Raw genomic sequence first — 16,046 nt, forward strand, 5'->3', positions numbered from 1 at the left:
TTATTGGGCAAGTTACCAAATCTCCCTAAGTCTGTATTCCTTCAGCCAAATAATGGGATGACAATCTGTTTCACTGGATGATTGTGAGGTTTAAATGTGGTCATGCATCAAAGTTCCTTATACAGCACTCAGTGCACAGCAAATATTCAGTGAATATTAATTATTTTATTATGACTGCTACCAGCATCTAACGACAGTCCTAAATACCATCTAAGTTTACCAAATGTCTCTCTGATTTACTGGTGACATTGGATAAAGGAAATGCTAAGAGAATGCAGTGCAGTGGAAAGAAGGGCGGGCTGGACATCAGCGTTCTGGTCTCCATCCGGGACTGGCCAGCAGGTGGCTCTGGAAAAGGGAGTCCCTCAGGGTCACGGTTTTCTATCTGTCCTGAGGCATGATCTTCAAAGTCCATTCTAGCTTCTGTCTATGACTTTAGATCTGACAGAAATCTCCCCGGAGGAACTCATGAGCCGTAAGTTAAACATGGTTTGAAATCACCCTTGAGCTCCTTGCTGATCATGCTTATCCATGTTGAAGGCTCATCCAGGAATAATAGATGGGTCTTGTGTGTGGTTTGAAAAGTTCACTTCTGGCCAGGTGCAGTGGTGAACCCTGTAATGCCAGCACTTTGGGAGGCCAAGGTGGAAGGATCGCTTGAGGCCAAAAGTTCAAGACCAGCCTGGGCAACATAGTTAGACTTTGTCTCTAAAAAATAAAAATAAAAATTAGCTGGGCATGGTGGTACACACCTGTGGTCTCAGCTACTCAGGAGGCTGAGGCGGTAGGATCACTTGAGCCTGGGAGGTGGAAGCTGCAGTGAGCTATGATTGTGCCAGTCCACTCCAGCCTGGGCAAGACCTTGTCTCAAAAGGAAAGTACACTTTTTATTTTCACAGGAGGTAATGATACATTCAAGTTGGTTACTTTACACAAGAAGAAATTTGTGTAATTTCTTACACAAAGAAATTACACAATTTTAGATAAATTTATCTTTATCTAAAATTATAATAAATAATTTTATTATTTAATAAACAATAAATAAATCTAAAACTCATTTATGTAAAATTTGTCACTATCTAAAATTTTCATAGTAAATTGTATGGAAAATATAATATCCCGTAGATGTGTCAAGACCAGAACATAGGTCAAACAGAGCTGAACTCGAGTCTCAGGTCTGCTGGTTGACTGCTAGTGACCTTGGGCAAGTCACTTACCCTCTCCAGTTCTTGTTTTCCTCACCTGAAAATGGGAACGATATTGTCTGCCTTATCGGGCTATGATGAGAATGGAAAGCTAGAACATGTAGACTGCCCTCCATAGTGCTTGGCATGGGGTCGTTCCTTTTCCCTCCCAGATGGAACACTGCATCCATCCCGATGGAGGTTTCTAGATGATGCTCCAGAGGATTCCAAGCAGAGAACATTTACAATTTCCATACATTACAAAAGTGTGAGCCTGCAAGGCAAGGTCTGGAGCTGGGAGCACATCTGGAGCAGTGGGTGGGTACTGAGAACCATATCCACACACACAAAGAAATGTGTTCGTTCAGAAGATCCAGCATCAATTCCTTCTTCCTAAGATTTGACAAGACTGGAGTCATTTCTTCACCAGGCCCATTTTATGAAAAACCCTGGGAAAACTGAGGTCCAGCAGCCAAAGATCTAACACAGCGGAATCAGGAAAAATGGTGGACAGGCCCCTGAAGGCACGTAAGGAGCAGGGAGCCTGGTGACCTTGGTGCACCCAATGCCTCCCTAACTAGAGTAATGGAACACCAATGTGGTTTACATTCATAATCCCTTGCATTTGAGAATTTTTAAATCTACTTAAATTTTCAAACAAGGGACACTCACACCACCTCCCACACTTATTAGCATGCTGTTTTATCACTCCGATATGTTCAAGGGACCCACCCCCATAAAAGATGGAAGATGAATCAGAAAACTCAACTGGAATTGCACTCCCTAGAGGGGCCCTGGGAGTTGTTTAGATATGCATAGTCTCACCTCAAGGCACATGCTGGGTACAAGATCCCTTATCACACCTCCAGTCCTGCTCAGCTTTTTAAGGGAGCATTTCCTGATATATAGGTCTTTAACTACCAGGTGTATTTGCCCACTGTCCACCTGTGCCTTCAAGTACCGTACTTAACAAGTTGGAACCGAGGGAATGGTACACTTCACATTTTGCAACTGTTATGCAAATAGAACTTCAATGAAATTCCTCAAACTGTTGACTCTAGAAACCGTGGGAGACAAAGGGTCAGTGTCTGACTTCACGAACGTTACCAACTTGAAAAATGAGATCTATTCCTTAGTGTGTGGGAGGAAGACATTTAAATCTGTAGTACCCTCAAAGCCTCACTCTAAACCTGGTCTGGCACTTTTCAATGTGTGTTCTTTGATATGGTAAGTAGTTAAGTATATCCCACCAGAGACCTTCCAAGGATGGGTTTTTTCCTCCATATGACTTCTCTCACTCTTTGCAGGAGAATAAAATAGAGTTTCAACTGAACTTTAAAGCTGTAACCTGATCTCAGAATCATGCACCATAAACAGCATTTGTGCTTTTCAAGATACTTTCAAATCCATATAGTTTTCCAAGATATTCCTAGTTGCCACATTGGGTGATTTAATTTTTTTTTTTTTTTTTTTTTTTTGAGATGGAGTCTCACTCTGTTGCCCAGGCTGGAGAGCAGTGGCGAGATCTCGGCTCACTGCAACTTTCACCTCCCAGGTTCAAGCGATTCTTCTGCCTCAGCCTCCCAAGTAGCTGGGATTACAGACACCTGCTACCACGCATGGCTAATTTTTGTATTTTTAGGAGAGACAGGGTTTTGCCACATTGGCCAGGCCGGTCTCAAACTCCTGACCTCAGGTGATCTGCCTGCCTTGACCTCCCAAAGTAATGGGATTTCGGGTGTGATCCACCGTGCCTGGGCTGGGTGACTTAATTTTAAATGTAGGGACATCAAGCAAAATGTTGCTGAGGAGTCTCTTTCGCAGCAAAAGTCCTGTGAAATCTGCAAGGCCATCTTTTTCATGGGTCCCCAAATGTTTCACAGGCAACTGGGCAATAATTGCATTTCCAGGAATGCCAAATGGAGCCAAATCCTTTTAATAGCTCACTGACATGCAGGTTATTCCACTGGGGACCAAAAGGAAGGAACTAGAGCTCTCAAAATATTTGATTCTTGATTTGTGCTCTTCACTGGATGATTCTATTTTCTTGAGAGCATTTTTAACGAAACAGCAGCAATCAGTGATTTCTTAGAAATGTGGCCCCTTTAAATACACTTCAGTGAGGCTAGCTCTTGTGTTTCCTGGACACTCTGTGTGTTCTGGACATACTGGAGGCACAGCATAAATATTAATGCTGGCCATTACAAAAAGAAAATGAAAAGACCCCATAAGGCAGCAGTGACCCTAGAAGCCCCAGAAGCCGTGTTGGAACTGTGACAAGGAAGGATAGTGACAAGATCTGAAAAAAGCAGCCCTCTTCCCACACTCAACACATGCAGTAAACCCAGACATGCAGGGCACCATTGTCTGAGCTGTCACTGGAGGGCTGGGAGGAGACAGGGGATGGGGCAATGGCAGCCTACCCACCCCTCCTCATCACTGTCCAGGGGCATTCAGGAAACACAGGCTTCCAATATGAGGCTGCCTTTTTTTCTCACAAGCCATGCTCACTAGGAATCCATAGCGGCCATCTGCACACCGACCTGGTGGTGTCTCAAGCTTCCAGGTGTGGTTTTGGGGGCAGGGTCCTTGAGGAAGGGGGTGCTGCTGACAGTGAGGTAACCTGAGGTCAGCTCTGGACAGGGCTGGGTGGAAGAAGAGTGTAGTGACTGCTGATCCCTGTCCTTTCTAGGAATTGGGGTTACTGGGTCAGAGAAACATCTCAATACCTTCCAGGCTTCCAAGGCTGGTTGTAAACCTGCTCCTTGATAAAAGAAACTACATCCAACCTTTAGGAGCAAGGTGGGGTAACATGGGAGCAGATCTTAGTTCATTTGTTTGTTTGTTTTTGCTTGCCTGCTTGCTTTTTTGTTTTTTCTTTTTCTTTTTTTTTTTTTTTTTGAGACAGGGTTGCACACTGTTGCCCAGGTTGGAGTGCAGTGGTGCAATCATGGCTCACTGCAGCCTTCACCTCCCAGACAGGTGATTCTCCCACCTTAGCCTCCCAAGTACCTGGGACTACAGGCATGCACCACCATGCCTGGCTAATTATTTTTTATTTTTTTGTAGATATGGGATTTTACCATGTTGCCTGGGCTAGTCTCTGAACTCCTGGGCCCAAATACTCTGCCCACCTGGGCCTCCCAAAGTGCGGGATTACAGGCATGAACCACCTCACCCAGCCTACAAATTCTTATATGACAATTTGAATCTCTGCTTGGATTTGTTTTATCCTCTCTTGTGCTTGTAACTCAAACTTTAATACTTGAAAAGTTTCATCAAAATTTAAATATACTTTTCTAAATCTGTGAGAAGGCTGTCTCCCAAGATGGTTTGTTACTGCACATCTTTTCCCCGGTAGATGGAAATATCCCTTCTCTATTCTCTTTCCCTTAGTCTTTCAAAAACTCAGTGAGGAGGAAGTGCTTGCTTCTAGCTTCTGGCGGTAGGCTACATTTCCCAGCCTGTCAGAATGGCCTCTCTGCAGGCTTCAACCCTTATGAGAAATAAAGCTGTCCTTTAGCAAAGTCATCAAGCTAAGTGTCTGTCAACAGATGATGATTAAAGTGTGGTACATATACACCATGGAATACTACTCAGCCATAAAAAGAATGAAATCATGCCTTTGGCAGCAGCATGGATGAACCTGGAGGCCATTATCCTAAGTGAAATGAGTCAGAAACAGAAAGCCAAAAACTGCATGTTCTCAGTTATAAGTGGGAGGTACACAGTGGGTATATGTGGACATAGAGAGTGGAATAATAGGCATTGGAGGCTCCAAAAGGTGGGAAGATGGAAGGGGATAAAGGATGAAATATTGCCTATTGGATATAATGTACATTACTCAGATGATGAGTACACTAAAAGCCCAGACTTCACCATTACGCAATATTTCCATGTAAGAAAGCTGCACTCGTGGTGGTGTATGCCTGTGGTCCCAGCTATTCAGGAGGCTGAGGAGAGAGAATTGCTTGAGCCTGAGAGTTCGAGGCAGTGAGCTGTGATTGCACCACTGCAGTCCAGCCTGGGCAACGAAGTGAGACTCTGTCTCTAGGAAAAAAAGAAAAAGAAAGAAAAAGAAAAGAGGTGGATGCAGACTGGAGATTTAGGAAAGCCTTTTCAGCTCCTTTCTCTTGCCAAGTCTTGTTTGTGGCTTTGGTGGGTGGTTTTGTTTGGGGGCCTGTCTTCTTTATTCCCTTTTCTTTTTTCTCTTAATCAAAGCAGTCTGTTCTGGTACTGCAGTGAAACAACTCTTTCCAGTTCCTTTGCATGGTGGTTGTGCACGTAGCCTCCAGGCCTGGGCTTGCATCAGTCATTTTGTCTATTCATACAAAGGGAAATTTAGGCTTTGTTCAGTTCATCTCCTACCAGGGCATGTACTTTCACAGCTACTGCCTGGGAAGCTTTGTGTGCATGAGATATCACCAGTCTGCCAGGCTACCAACTTGACTGTAAGTGGAGAGACTAACTGATGAAGCAATGACTGTGTGCCAGGAACTGTTCTAAGTGCTTTATGTGTATGAGCCAGTCAGCCCACTATTACTGTTCTTCTCCATTTTCAGGTGAGGAAACTGAGGCTCAGATTGTTGAGAAAATTGTCCCAAGCCGCACAGCTGGTCAGGGGCAGGCCAGCATTCAGTTTCCAGAGCCTGTGTTTTTAACCATTATGTGATGCCTCCAGGGTACATTATATTCTTTTGCATGAATGTGCAAAAATATGTCTTCATGCTTCTATTTCTGTTCATTTAACTTGTTTCAATTTTTTTCTATCACAAATAATACAGCAATGAATGTTTTTGCAATAATAGCTTATAATGATAGTTAACATTTGTCGAATCGCTAACAAAGTGATGGGCTCTGTTTCAAGTTCTTTATGCATCTTAATTAATTTAATCTTTGTAGCAATCCCACTATTATTTTTTACTTATTTATTTATTTTTTGAGACAGAGTCTCGCTCTGTCGCCCAGGCTGGAGTGCAGTGGCACGATTTTGGCTCACTGCAACCTCTGCCTCCCGAGTTCAAGCAATTCTCCTGCCTCAGCCTTCCAAGTAGCTGGGATTACAGGTGCATGCCACCATGGCTGGCTGACTTTTGTATTTTTAGTAGAGACGGGTTTCACCATGTTAGCCAGCTGGTCTTGAACTCCTGACCTCAGGTGATCCACCCGCCTCGGCCTCCCAAAGTGCTGGGATTACAGGTGTGAACCACTGTGCCTGGCAAATCCTACTATTATTACTATTTAACGAATTTAATCTTTGTAACAAACCTACTATTATTACCATTTAACAGAAGAGGGAAACGAGGCACAGGACAGTTGGCTACATATTTTGTTCCAGATTGCACAATTAGAAAGTGGCAGCTTAGCACCATAAGACATAGTGAGGAAAAAAGAAAAAAAAAAAGTGGATGGGCTGGCATTGAAACCCAGAGCTGGTACTCTTATGATAGTGTCTAGACAATATCTGTGACCACACCTCTGATTGTACCTCAAGAAGAAAGATTTTTAAAGTGAAATTACTAGAGCATAAGATATAAACATTTAAAAGGTTTTTGATACATCTTACAAAAGTGCTTTTCAATAACACTGATTGATCATGCTCATTTGCATTTCCATGAGCACTGTGTAATTGATCAAGGACTCTAAAAGTTAGATAAGCCACTGATAAATGGAGATGCCCCTCTAAGTCCCTGGGCAGTAAAACCTGACCAGCATAGCCTCCAATAACCTGCATAGTGTTGAGGAGAGCTTGGATTTAAGAGATTAAGAGGGTCAAACTCTTTTCTGTCCATTTTAAAATGCAAGTTTTATTTAAGAGGAACTATCTAATATGCTGAAGACAGTATCAGGTATCTGTAAAATTGCTTTTTGTAACTCAGAATCTTGGAACAAAAGAAACAATAAAGAAAATTTGGAACCAGAACTGTTTACCCTACGGAAAATTTTTGTCCAAAGCAGCCTCTCAGCGTTCCACATCATTTTCATCATTATGAATAACGACAACAGCAACTAAGGTTTATGTTGCACTTTTGACTGAACACATGCCTCTTTCGTATTTCTTAGACCAAGCCAGTGTTTCTTGTACTTTCCTGATGATAAGAAGTACCAAGAGGTGTTGTTAGCTAGATCGTCATAAATAATCAGGCCTCCCCTAGGTAAGTTCTGATTTAGGAGGTCTGGGTTGGAGCCTTAAATCTGTGTTTTGACAAGCATACTAGGTGTTTTTTATTTTCTGAGGATTTTGGAAACTACTAGAAAACACAATAAAATTGCTGTAGTAGGTTCTTTTTTCAATGTTAAGCTATTAACATTAGAATGCTTGCTTTTAATTGGAATCAGGTGTTAAAGAGAAAATCTACAACGATCAGTCATTGCAACAGAAGTAACAATTATATACTAGCCTCACTTAGCATTCTTCACCCACACTGGTTCCCTAAATGTACATTTCTTAATTCTCTTGAATGTCTATTATACAGGCAGATGCAACTTGCAAATCACACTAACTCGAACATACACTTCAGTGCCTCACTAGAACCCCTAACTGACATCTTTTTCCTAAGTCAGTATACCTGGCATATGCCTGGCTAAAGTGCCACTTTCTCTTGTTTAGACCCTGAAGCTGATGTAGACTGGGAACTGATTACTGAGATCTAGACATACCTCCTCCTCTCCTCCACATAGGCCCACCCACCAAGAATCCCTACATTGGAAACCCTTGGGGTTCAAGGATCATGAGTCTGGGGCATGCACCCTGGGATCACTGTTCAGAGCTGAAAATGCATTTCCCCATGGAAACATTGATGTTGATGTGGTGCCGTTTTGCTAGAGTCCAAGTACATTTTCTGGTTTTTGTGGGCTGATCTGGGCTCTTGCTGCCATTTATCATATTTCTATAAAAAAAAAAGCTCAAAACTACATTAGGGAGGGGTGCATCTGGAGTGTTTGAAATATCCCAATTCTTGTTCTGGATGGTGTTTTTACCCTGTTACTATCCCTTTGTGATATTCCGTTGAGCTGTTGCCTTAGGATTTGTGCACTTCTCTGTTTTTGAATTATATTTATTAAAAATTTCAACATATGGGGGTTTGCAAGAAAAAAGGTTTCTTAAATAAAACCCCTCCATATGGAATATAGCCTTTTGGAAATTAAAAACAGGCATTGAAATCTATGATTAATATAAAGAATAAGAAAATAAATCAATTATCATTTTTTTTCACACTGTGGATAGAAGATTTCAAAAGAAACCCTTTCATGGTTCCTTTTATTTGTTTTTTCATCTGTAATTTGAGAATTAAACATTCAGTCACACTAGTCCCAAGCAATACAGTTCAAAAAACTTTTTTGCCTGTTTTTATTTTTTTGTTGTTGGTTTATGCAAATGAGGTTTTTAGCTGGAAACTTCAAAAGCCTGACACATATTAAAAATAAGCAGATTTATGATGAGTGGGATTTTTGGCAAGCAATTGAGAAAAATCACCAAGACTCCAAAGAGAGTTGTTCTCTTTCTGTCTTGGCTTTGTCATGTGCTCTTTCTTAATATTTGGTTTGAAGCAGTGTATGGTTCTGTAATGTGACCTGGAGCCTCTATTGAGTAAGCATCCCTGGAGACTAAGAAACATCTTTCTATGCTAATGGATTAGTCAAAGAAGATCAATGTATCATCATTTCAAGAAAATATTACAAGAAAGTATGCTCTTACTCTAATGGAAGCCAGTAGCAATTTTCTTGTCAATTTCCCAGCTATTTTTTAATATTATTTTAGTACTTACTTTCCTGTGCTGACTCTATGTTCAATCTAAAATTAATTGTTTGTCCCAGTTCACTTCCTTAGTCCCTAGACTCCAGTTGCAACTTTCATGATATTCTGTTCCTCTCCTGCAGAGGGTTTAAAGGGCTGCAGAATAAGAGGGCAGCTTGTACATTCTTTTGACAAAAGGAGGCATGTCTCTCAATGCTTCCCTTAGTTTCTATCCCCAGAAGTTCTCAAGATGAATGTCCAAGTCCATTTGTGCTACTATAACAAAATGCCTGAGGCTGGCGAATTTATAGACAATAGAAATTTATTTTTAGTTCTGGAGGCTGGAAAGTTCAAGAGCAAGGCACCAGGAGGTTTGGTGTCTGCTGAGGGCTGCTCTCTGATTCCAAGGTGGTGCCGTGAGCGTCTTTACATTGTGAAGGGGATGGAAGGACAAAAGGGCTTGCTAGTTCCCTCAAGTCCTTTTATAAAGGCATTAATCCGTTCATGAAAGGGGAGCCCTCATGATCTAAACACTTCCTAAAGGCACCAACCTCTTAATACTATCACATTGGCAGTTAAGTTTCAACATACAAAGTTGGAGGCACACATTCAGGCCACAGCAATGAGATTCTGTGAGTTCTTTGATTTAGATGAACTTTGTTTAGATGAACTTTTATTTCTCCCCAACATCTTACCATGAGCACAGTCAATACAACTGAAAATTAAGCTTTGATTTTCCTTTCAAAGTGGCTCTTTTTTTCTGCTCATGTTTCTGTTAAATGACATGATTTTATTTTTTAATTTGTAAAATGTTTTGGGGTTTCTGCTAATTGAATTATGGGACCCTAGACATAAAGAAGACATAAACTCCCCACGGAGTATACAGGGTAATAAGCAGATGAGGTATCTGTACATGTACAGATAACCCAAGTACCCAGGAGGCTGGAAGTGCTGTCACTGAAATACAAAGTATATGGGATTCAGAGAAAGAGGTCATTCTCATCCATGGGTACCAGTTGAAATTCGTCAGGAACAGGCAAGATTTGGACAGGGGAAGATGAAGAAAAGGCCACCCCAGACTCAGCAGGAACAGACACTTCAAAGGCAAGAAAGTGCAGGTCAGTTGAAACTGAGGGAGTCAGTGCAAGAATTGCTGTGAAGTTTAATTTTACAGCATAGGAGGAAGTTAAGTTCTAAAACCAGCACTTAAAAAAGAGAGTCATAGTGACTCAGTGATGCTTGACAATCTGAACATACTGCCTCTCAGTAATTCTCACACCACCAAGATGTCCTTCCAGTGTTGCAACAAATCATGATTTCTTTGATTGATCACCAGATGAAGCAGTTGGCTATGTTTAGAGGCTATGTTGGAGAGCAGGGAGAGACAGAGAATAAGGATAAGAATTTATTTTTAGAAAGTAAATCACACTTACCATGGCAGGATGTTCACACAGTCATAGCCACAGGGGAACCAAGATTGAGAAAATTTCAGATTTTCTCCAAGTTCTCCAAAGAAAAATGTACAAAGATCATGAATAGGCAATTTAAAGGAAATAGTAATGGTTAATGATCATATGTAAAATGTTCAACATCACCAATGATCCCATAAATCTAAATTTCAGAAGGAAGTTATTATTTTCTTCCTATCATTTGCAAATATTTAAAAATAACACTGCTGGTGAATATGTGTATCTTAATTTCATGCATTGCTAATGAGAATGTAAATTGGTACCACCTTTGTAAAAAGCAGTTGCGTACAAGAAAAAATAGAGACTATAAATGGTAATATAATTTATTCACCTATTCAATTGTAAATATTTATTAAGCATATTGTATGTCTGGCAATGGATTTATCTGTAGGCAGTGGATCTGTAAATGATTTCTATTTTATGTCTTGCTCTGTCACCCAGGCTGGAGTGCAGTGGTGCAATCACAGCTCACTGCAGCCTTTTGCTCCTGGGCTCAAGCAATCTACCCACCTCAGCCTCCCAAGTAGCAGGGACTACAGGCATGCACCACCACACTCAGCTAATTATTTTATTCTTTTTGTAGAGACAGGGTCTCTCTACGTTGCCCAGGGTGGCCTCCCATTCTTGAGCTCAAGTGATCCTCCCACCTTGGTCTCCCAAAGTGCTGGGATTCAGGTGTGAGCCACTGTGCCCGATCTATTTTATTCTTTATACTTTTATGGGTTTTCCAAATTTTCTAGAATATTTAATTGCCTCTTATCAAAAACATGCATTTTAATACATCCTTTCCATCTTTTAGGTCCCAAGTCAAGTCTACAAGTCTACCCTTTCCGTATAGTATTTCCTGGGCTTTAGGAAGTGCTCTCTCATTTTTCTGTGACCCTTCCAAATGAGTCTTTTCATATATGGTCTTGAGTTGTAGCCACTTGTATGTATGACTTTCTTCCCAACTAGTAAGGGAGTTACTGAAGAGTAAGGATTGTGGTGTAGAAATTGTAAATTTTTAGGCAAAAGACTAGTTCTCCTTCCCTACCTTCTCCAGGAAGCCTTTTCTACTACTCAAAGAAGAAAAAAAAGGTGATTACTTCTTCCCTGAATTCTCAAAACAGTTTTTTATGCCTCTATTATGGAGAGTAAAACACCCCGCTTTGCTTTGGATTACAGATGATTGTCCTTGTCCTGACCCCCCCCATTCTGCTTTGGATTATAGTTAATTGTGTTTATCTTAACCATAGCACCCATTAGTCATCCAACTCCTTACTATAGGAAACGAATCTCATATCTCTGTGTGCCCAGGGTAGTGTTTTACATAAGGTGTGTGCTCAGTAAACATTGGTTGATCTTATGACAGAATGAAACTGGCTCTTTCCAGCTATTTCAAAGAGGTGCATTTCAGTTAGTCTGGAATCCAAAGTTTCAGAGTGCCATGCAAGAAGCAGACCCAACTGTTGAGGAGTGGCAGTCATAAAGCCCGATCCGCCAGAAAAAAACCTACCAGGAAATGAATTCACCTTAGACTTCTGATCCCTCAAATAATACTACTTAGTGCCTTTATGGGTCCTGAGAACTTTATCTGTGAAGCCCTACCTTCTTTGACCATCTCACAAACTTCTAAAAATTATTTTGCAAAAGAATTCCACCTTTTCATTCCTAAATTGAACACCACAGATTTGCCCTGAAACCCAGTTTCAGGCCCTCATCTTCCACATGTGGCCATTGAGAGAAAAGTTTAAAATCAAGGACTGCATAAATATTATTTTAGAATTTTAAAAATGGGCCTAGAACGGTAGCTTACGCCTGTAACTCAACACTTTAGGAGGCCAAGATGGGTGGATCACTTGAGCTCAGGAGTTCAAGACCAGCCTGGGAAACAAAGTAAGACCCTGTCTCCCTGAAAAATATAAAAATTAGCCAAGTGAGGTGGCACATGCCTCTGGTCCCAGCTACTCGGCAGGCTGAGGTGGGAGGATGGCTTGAGCTTGGGAGGCAGAGGTTGCAGTGAGCCGAGGTTGTGCCACTGCACCCTAGCTTCGGTGACAGAGTCAGATCCTGTCTCGAAAAAATAAAAATAAATAAAATGAGTAAAATAAAATAAAATGAAGGAAATAGAGCACAAGATTCATTTCCATTTAATACACATTTATTGTAATCCAGGATTTTGCAAAGCCCTGTCCTGGGCACTAAGGATGATCCAGAGATTAAATAGGACGTTGATCTCATAAGATCCCATGTGGCTATGGCAATGTAATTGAGGAAAGGGAGGAACAGTGTAAAAGGAGTTAAGAGACGGGGAGTTCATTGCCCTTGACTGCAGGGTTTTGAGCCAGAATTGGGTTAGAAGTGGGAAATAAATAGGAAGGCCACTGGTAACTGCTCATAATTGTGTTGGTGGTGACTGCTGATGCTTTGAGTCTGTGCCCAGTAAATATAAGACGTAGGTGGGATTCAGATAGAATGAGAAAAGCTTTAGGAAAAAAAAAATCAAAGTTCTAAGGCAATATTGGATAGAAGATATGATGAGAGACAGGTTGTTATAGAAAAGGATGGCATTTAACAGGACACAGTGCATCTGTGAGTGTTCTTAGCTTCTGACAACAGACTAACTCTAGTTAGTCTGAAAGTAAAAGAAATGTATTAAAGACTATTAGGACACCATCAAGAAAGTGAAAGGACAGCCCGTAGAATAAGAACAAATATTTTCAAAGCACACATCTGATAAGGAACTCACATCCAGAATGTGAGAACTCAACAATAAAAGACAAGTTTAAAAGGACAATTTAAAATGGGCAAATAGTGTTGGTTTTGCAACAATGTAAATGTACTGTTCACAGTATATATACATTTTGATGTAACAAATAGTAAGTTTTGTTATATATATTTAACCCTAATTTTAAAAATAAATTTTTTTAAATGGGCAAACATTTCAGTAGGCATTTCTACAAGGAAGATACCCAAATGGTCAACAAGCACATGAAAAGATACTTAACATTATTTGTCATTAGGGAAATGCAAAGCAAAACCATAATGAAATACCACTTCACACCCACCAAGAAATTGAAACCCTCATACATTACTTGTGGTAGTGTAAAATGGTGTAACTGCTTTGGAAAACAGTCTGGCAGTTCCTCAAAATGTTAAACATAGAATTAGCGTATGACCCAGTGATTTCACTCCTAGGTAAATACCCAAGAGAAATGAAAATATATGTCAACTCAAAAACTTGCATTCAAATGTTCATAGCAGCATTATTTATACTAGCCACCAGTGGAAACGATCCAAATGTCTATCAAATGTTAAACAGATAAGCAAAATGTGGTGTATTTATATAATATAACATTCTTTGGCAATAAAAAGTCATGAAGTACTGACACATGCTACGTGGATTCCTGAGTAAACTGAAAAAATTTTGCTGAGTGAAAGAAGCCAGACACAAAAGCCCACACATATTATATGATTTCATTTATATGAAATGTCCAAGTGTGGCGGTGTGCCTATAATCCCAATTACTGGGGAGGCTGAGATGTGAAGATCGCTTGAGCCCAGGAAGTCAAGGCTGCAGTGAGCCATGTTTGTGACACTGCACTCCAGTCTGGACAACAGAACGAGACCCTGTCTCAAAACAAACAAACAAAAAAACCAAACAAATGCAGCCTCCTCTGGGAGGCCTTTCTTCGTTTCCTGCTTCTATGTTCCTATAACCCTCTGTCCATACACTTCTATCATTTCATAGTGTTTTGAAATTGTAGGTCGTCCCTCCCCACCTTCCCCTCTGCCCCCCAAAGAAGATAAGGCCCTTGAAAGTAGACTCATGCTTTTTCAAGCTTTGTATTCTCAGCCTTGTGACAGATGAAGGAAGGGAGGAAGGTAAGGAAGGAAGGATGGAGGGAGGAAGGAAGGAAGGAAAGAAGAAAAGAAGGAAGGAAAGAGTGAGGAAGGGAGGGAGGGAGGAAATAAGGAAGGAAGGAAAGAAGAAAAGGAAGGAAAGAGCGAGGAAGGAAGGGAGGGAGGGAGGAAATGAAGGAAGGAAGGAAAGCGCGAGGAAAGAAGAGAGAGAGGAAGGAAGGGAAGGAGGAAGGAAGGAAGGAGGGAGGAAGGAAGGGAGGGAGGGAGAGGGAGAAAAGGAACGAAAGAGTGAGGAAGGAAGGAAAGAGGGAGGAAGGGAGGAAGGAAGGAAGGGAGAGAGGAAGGAAGGAAAGAAGGAAGGAAAGAGCAAGGAAGGAAGGAAAGAGCGAGGAAGGGAGGGAGGAAGGAAGGAAGGAAAGAAAGAGAGAGAGAGGAAGGGTCCCTACTCCAACTTCTTTTACGGAGTAAAAAGGCCTAAAGAGACAGTCATGACTTATCATTTGCAGGACTGATTGTATCATACTTGACTCATTTGTTAACATTCACTTGAAGGAAACGCAGAGATTTTTTTTCTTCGCTCACATTCAGGAGCTGTGCTTGCTTATAATGAACTGTCATGATGGAGGCCGGCCCGTTTCAGCTCTCTCAGCCCCGTCAAGCTGAACTCACTTCCCCTGAAAGGACAGTGTTTGCATTTGTGTTTACGGGACTGGGGAAGAGGATGCGTTTTCAGGAGACCTGAAAACCGAGCCAACCCCCTTTTCCTGCCCCGCTGTGCTGCGATTGGCCCATCTTGGAGGCTGGCTGCAGGAGCCTTTAGTCATCGCACAGGGAAATCTTTCTGGAACCGGGCACCAACTTGCGTGTTTGTTTTCATGCTCTTTGTGCGGGGATTAGCTGTCGTGCCGGGCCTGAAAATGCTGCGAGCGCCGGGCGACATCTAATCCAGGATTTGCCTCTGCCTCGCGGTTGATGGAAAACAGATGTCTTACTGCTCTGGGCCTGAGCACAGAATGGAAATGACCGACCAGAGAGCCATTTGGAGCCGAGGACACCCGGTGAAAGCCATTCAGAGTCCAGCCAGGAGGCCGACTTTCCTCCTCTGGTCTGTTTTTACTACTTGAGCCGCTCGCTCAGAAAACGGCCTTAGATAAAGCAGTTTCACCTTCAGATCGCCTGAGGCTGCAGAAGGGCGGCTGCGGGGGAGGAAGGAGGAGGCGGAGAGGAGCGGGTGCGAAGTCCTGGGTCGCCTGCCCGCTGCCTGATGTCGTGAGCTAGGGCACCTCGGCCCTGGCTGGGCGCGCAGCGAGGCCCAGGCCCGAGGGGTGAGGCCCAGGCCACTCCGGAGCGCGCGCTGTTCCCGCGAAGCGAGTCGCCGTCTCGTAGTAAGTCGTGGCTCGGGCTGTGCCCTGGGAACCCTCCCGCCCGGGCAAGGTCCGGTGGCCGGAGCGTGCGGGAAGCCTGCCCAGAGTCCATTTCCGGACGGGCGCTGCGGGGCTGGCAGCCGGCCTGGAGCGGGTGCAGTGGGTCGGCGCGGCGCAGAGCTGTCAGCAACAGGGCCGCTGAGCAGCAGAACCTGGACGCCGCGCGGCTCCCAGGCCCTGCCCGCGGAGCTCTCCCGGGAGTCGCGGACCTCTGCCGTCCTCAGTCACCCGCGTCATGCAGGATAGCTTTCAAAGTCATTTTGCAGAGAAAAAAAGATACTGAGCAATCTGAAAGCAGGACTGTAGTAATTTTGAAAAGATCGGCTTCCTCTTTTTCTTTAAAAACATGTTTGGTCATTTTCCTAAAACTACTTTCCTTCCTTTAGCC

At 42.5% G+C, this 16,046-nt stretch overlaps 1 protein-coding gene across 31 annotated transcripts in view, besides 5 other annotated features; it reads left to right on the top strand.

The window, feature by feature from the left end:
* TRIM2 (tripartite motif containing 2) overlaps nucleotides 1-16,046 on the top strand; it is a 187,155-nt gene that overhangs the window by 55,258 nt on the left and 115,851 nt on the right. For 2 of the 31 annotated variants that reach the window (NM_001438621.1, NM_001438624.1), the window contains exon 1: nucleotides 15,072-15,619. The exons of 26 other annotated variants lie outside the window; for them this stretch is intronic. The gene's annotated coding sequence lies outside the window, so the exon portion shown is untranslated. Of the gene's footprint in view, nucleotides 1-14,822; nucleotides 15,620-16,046 lie in introns of those variants that run through there. 3 more of the 31 variants (NM_001438623.1, NM_001438622.1, NM_001375512.1) reach the window with 2 other exon arrangements.
* Nucleotides 1,780-2,605: an enhancer, noted in NCBI's record as "NANOG hESC enhancer chr4:154130352-154131177 (GRCh37/hg19 assembly coordinates)". NCBI's record gives its function as "activates a minimal SCP1, AML or CMV promoter by ChIP-STARR-seq in naive H9 embryonic stem cells {active_cell/tissue: H9 hESC(naive)}" and the evidence as "EXISTENCE:reporter gene assay evidence [ECO:0000049][PMID:30033119]".
* Nucleotides 14,487-14,988: an enhancer, noted in NCBI's record as "H3K27ac-H3K4me1 hESC enhancer chr4:154143059-154143560 (GRCh37/hg19 assembly coordinates)". NCBI's record gives its function as "activates a minimal SCP1, AML or CMV promoter by ChIP-STARR-seq in primed H9 embryonic stem cells {active_cell/tissue: H9 hESC(primed)}" and the evidence as "EXISTENCE:reporter gene assay evidence [ECO:0000049][PMID:30033119]".
* Nucleotides 14,487-15,113: a biological region, named in NCBI's record as "H3K27ac-H3K4me1 hESC enhancer GRCh37_chr4:154143059-154143560".
* Nucleotides 14,784-15,113: an enhancer, noted in NCBI's record as "active region_22049". NCBI's record gives its function as "activates an Ori minimal core promoter by ATAC-STARR-seq in GM12878 lymphoblastoid cells {active_cell/tissue: GM12878}" and the evidence as "EXISTENCE:reporter gene assay evidence [ECO:0000049][PMID:35858748]".
* Nucleotides 15,504-15,693: a silencer, noted in NCBI's record as "silent region_15756". NCBI's record gives its function as "represses an Ori minimal core promoter by ATAC-STARR-seq in GM12878 lymphoblastoid cells {active_cell/tissue: GM12878}" and the evidence as "EXISTENCE:reporter gene assay evidence [ECO:0000049][PMID:35858748]".

This window comes from Homo sapiens, chromosome 4 (assembly GCF_000001405.40).
Source record: "Homo sapiens chromosome 4, GRCh38.p14 Primary Assembly".
NCBI lineage: Eukaryota > Metazoa > Chordata > Mammalia > Primates > Hominidae > Homo > Homo sapiens.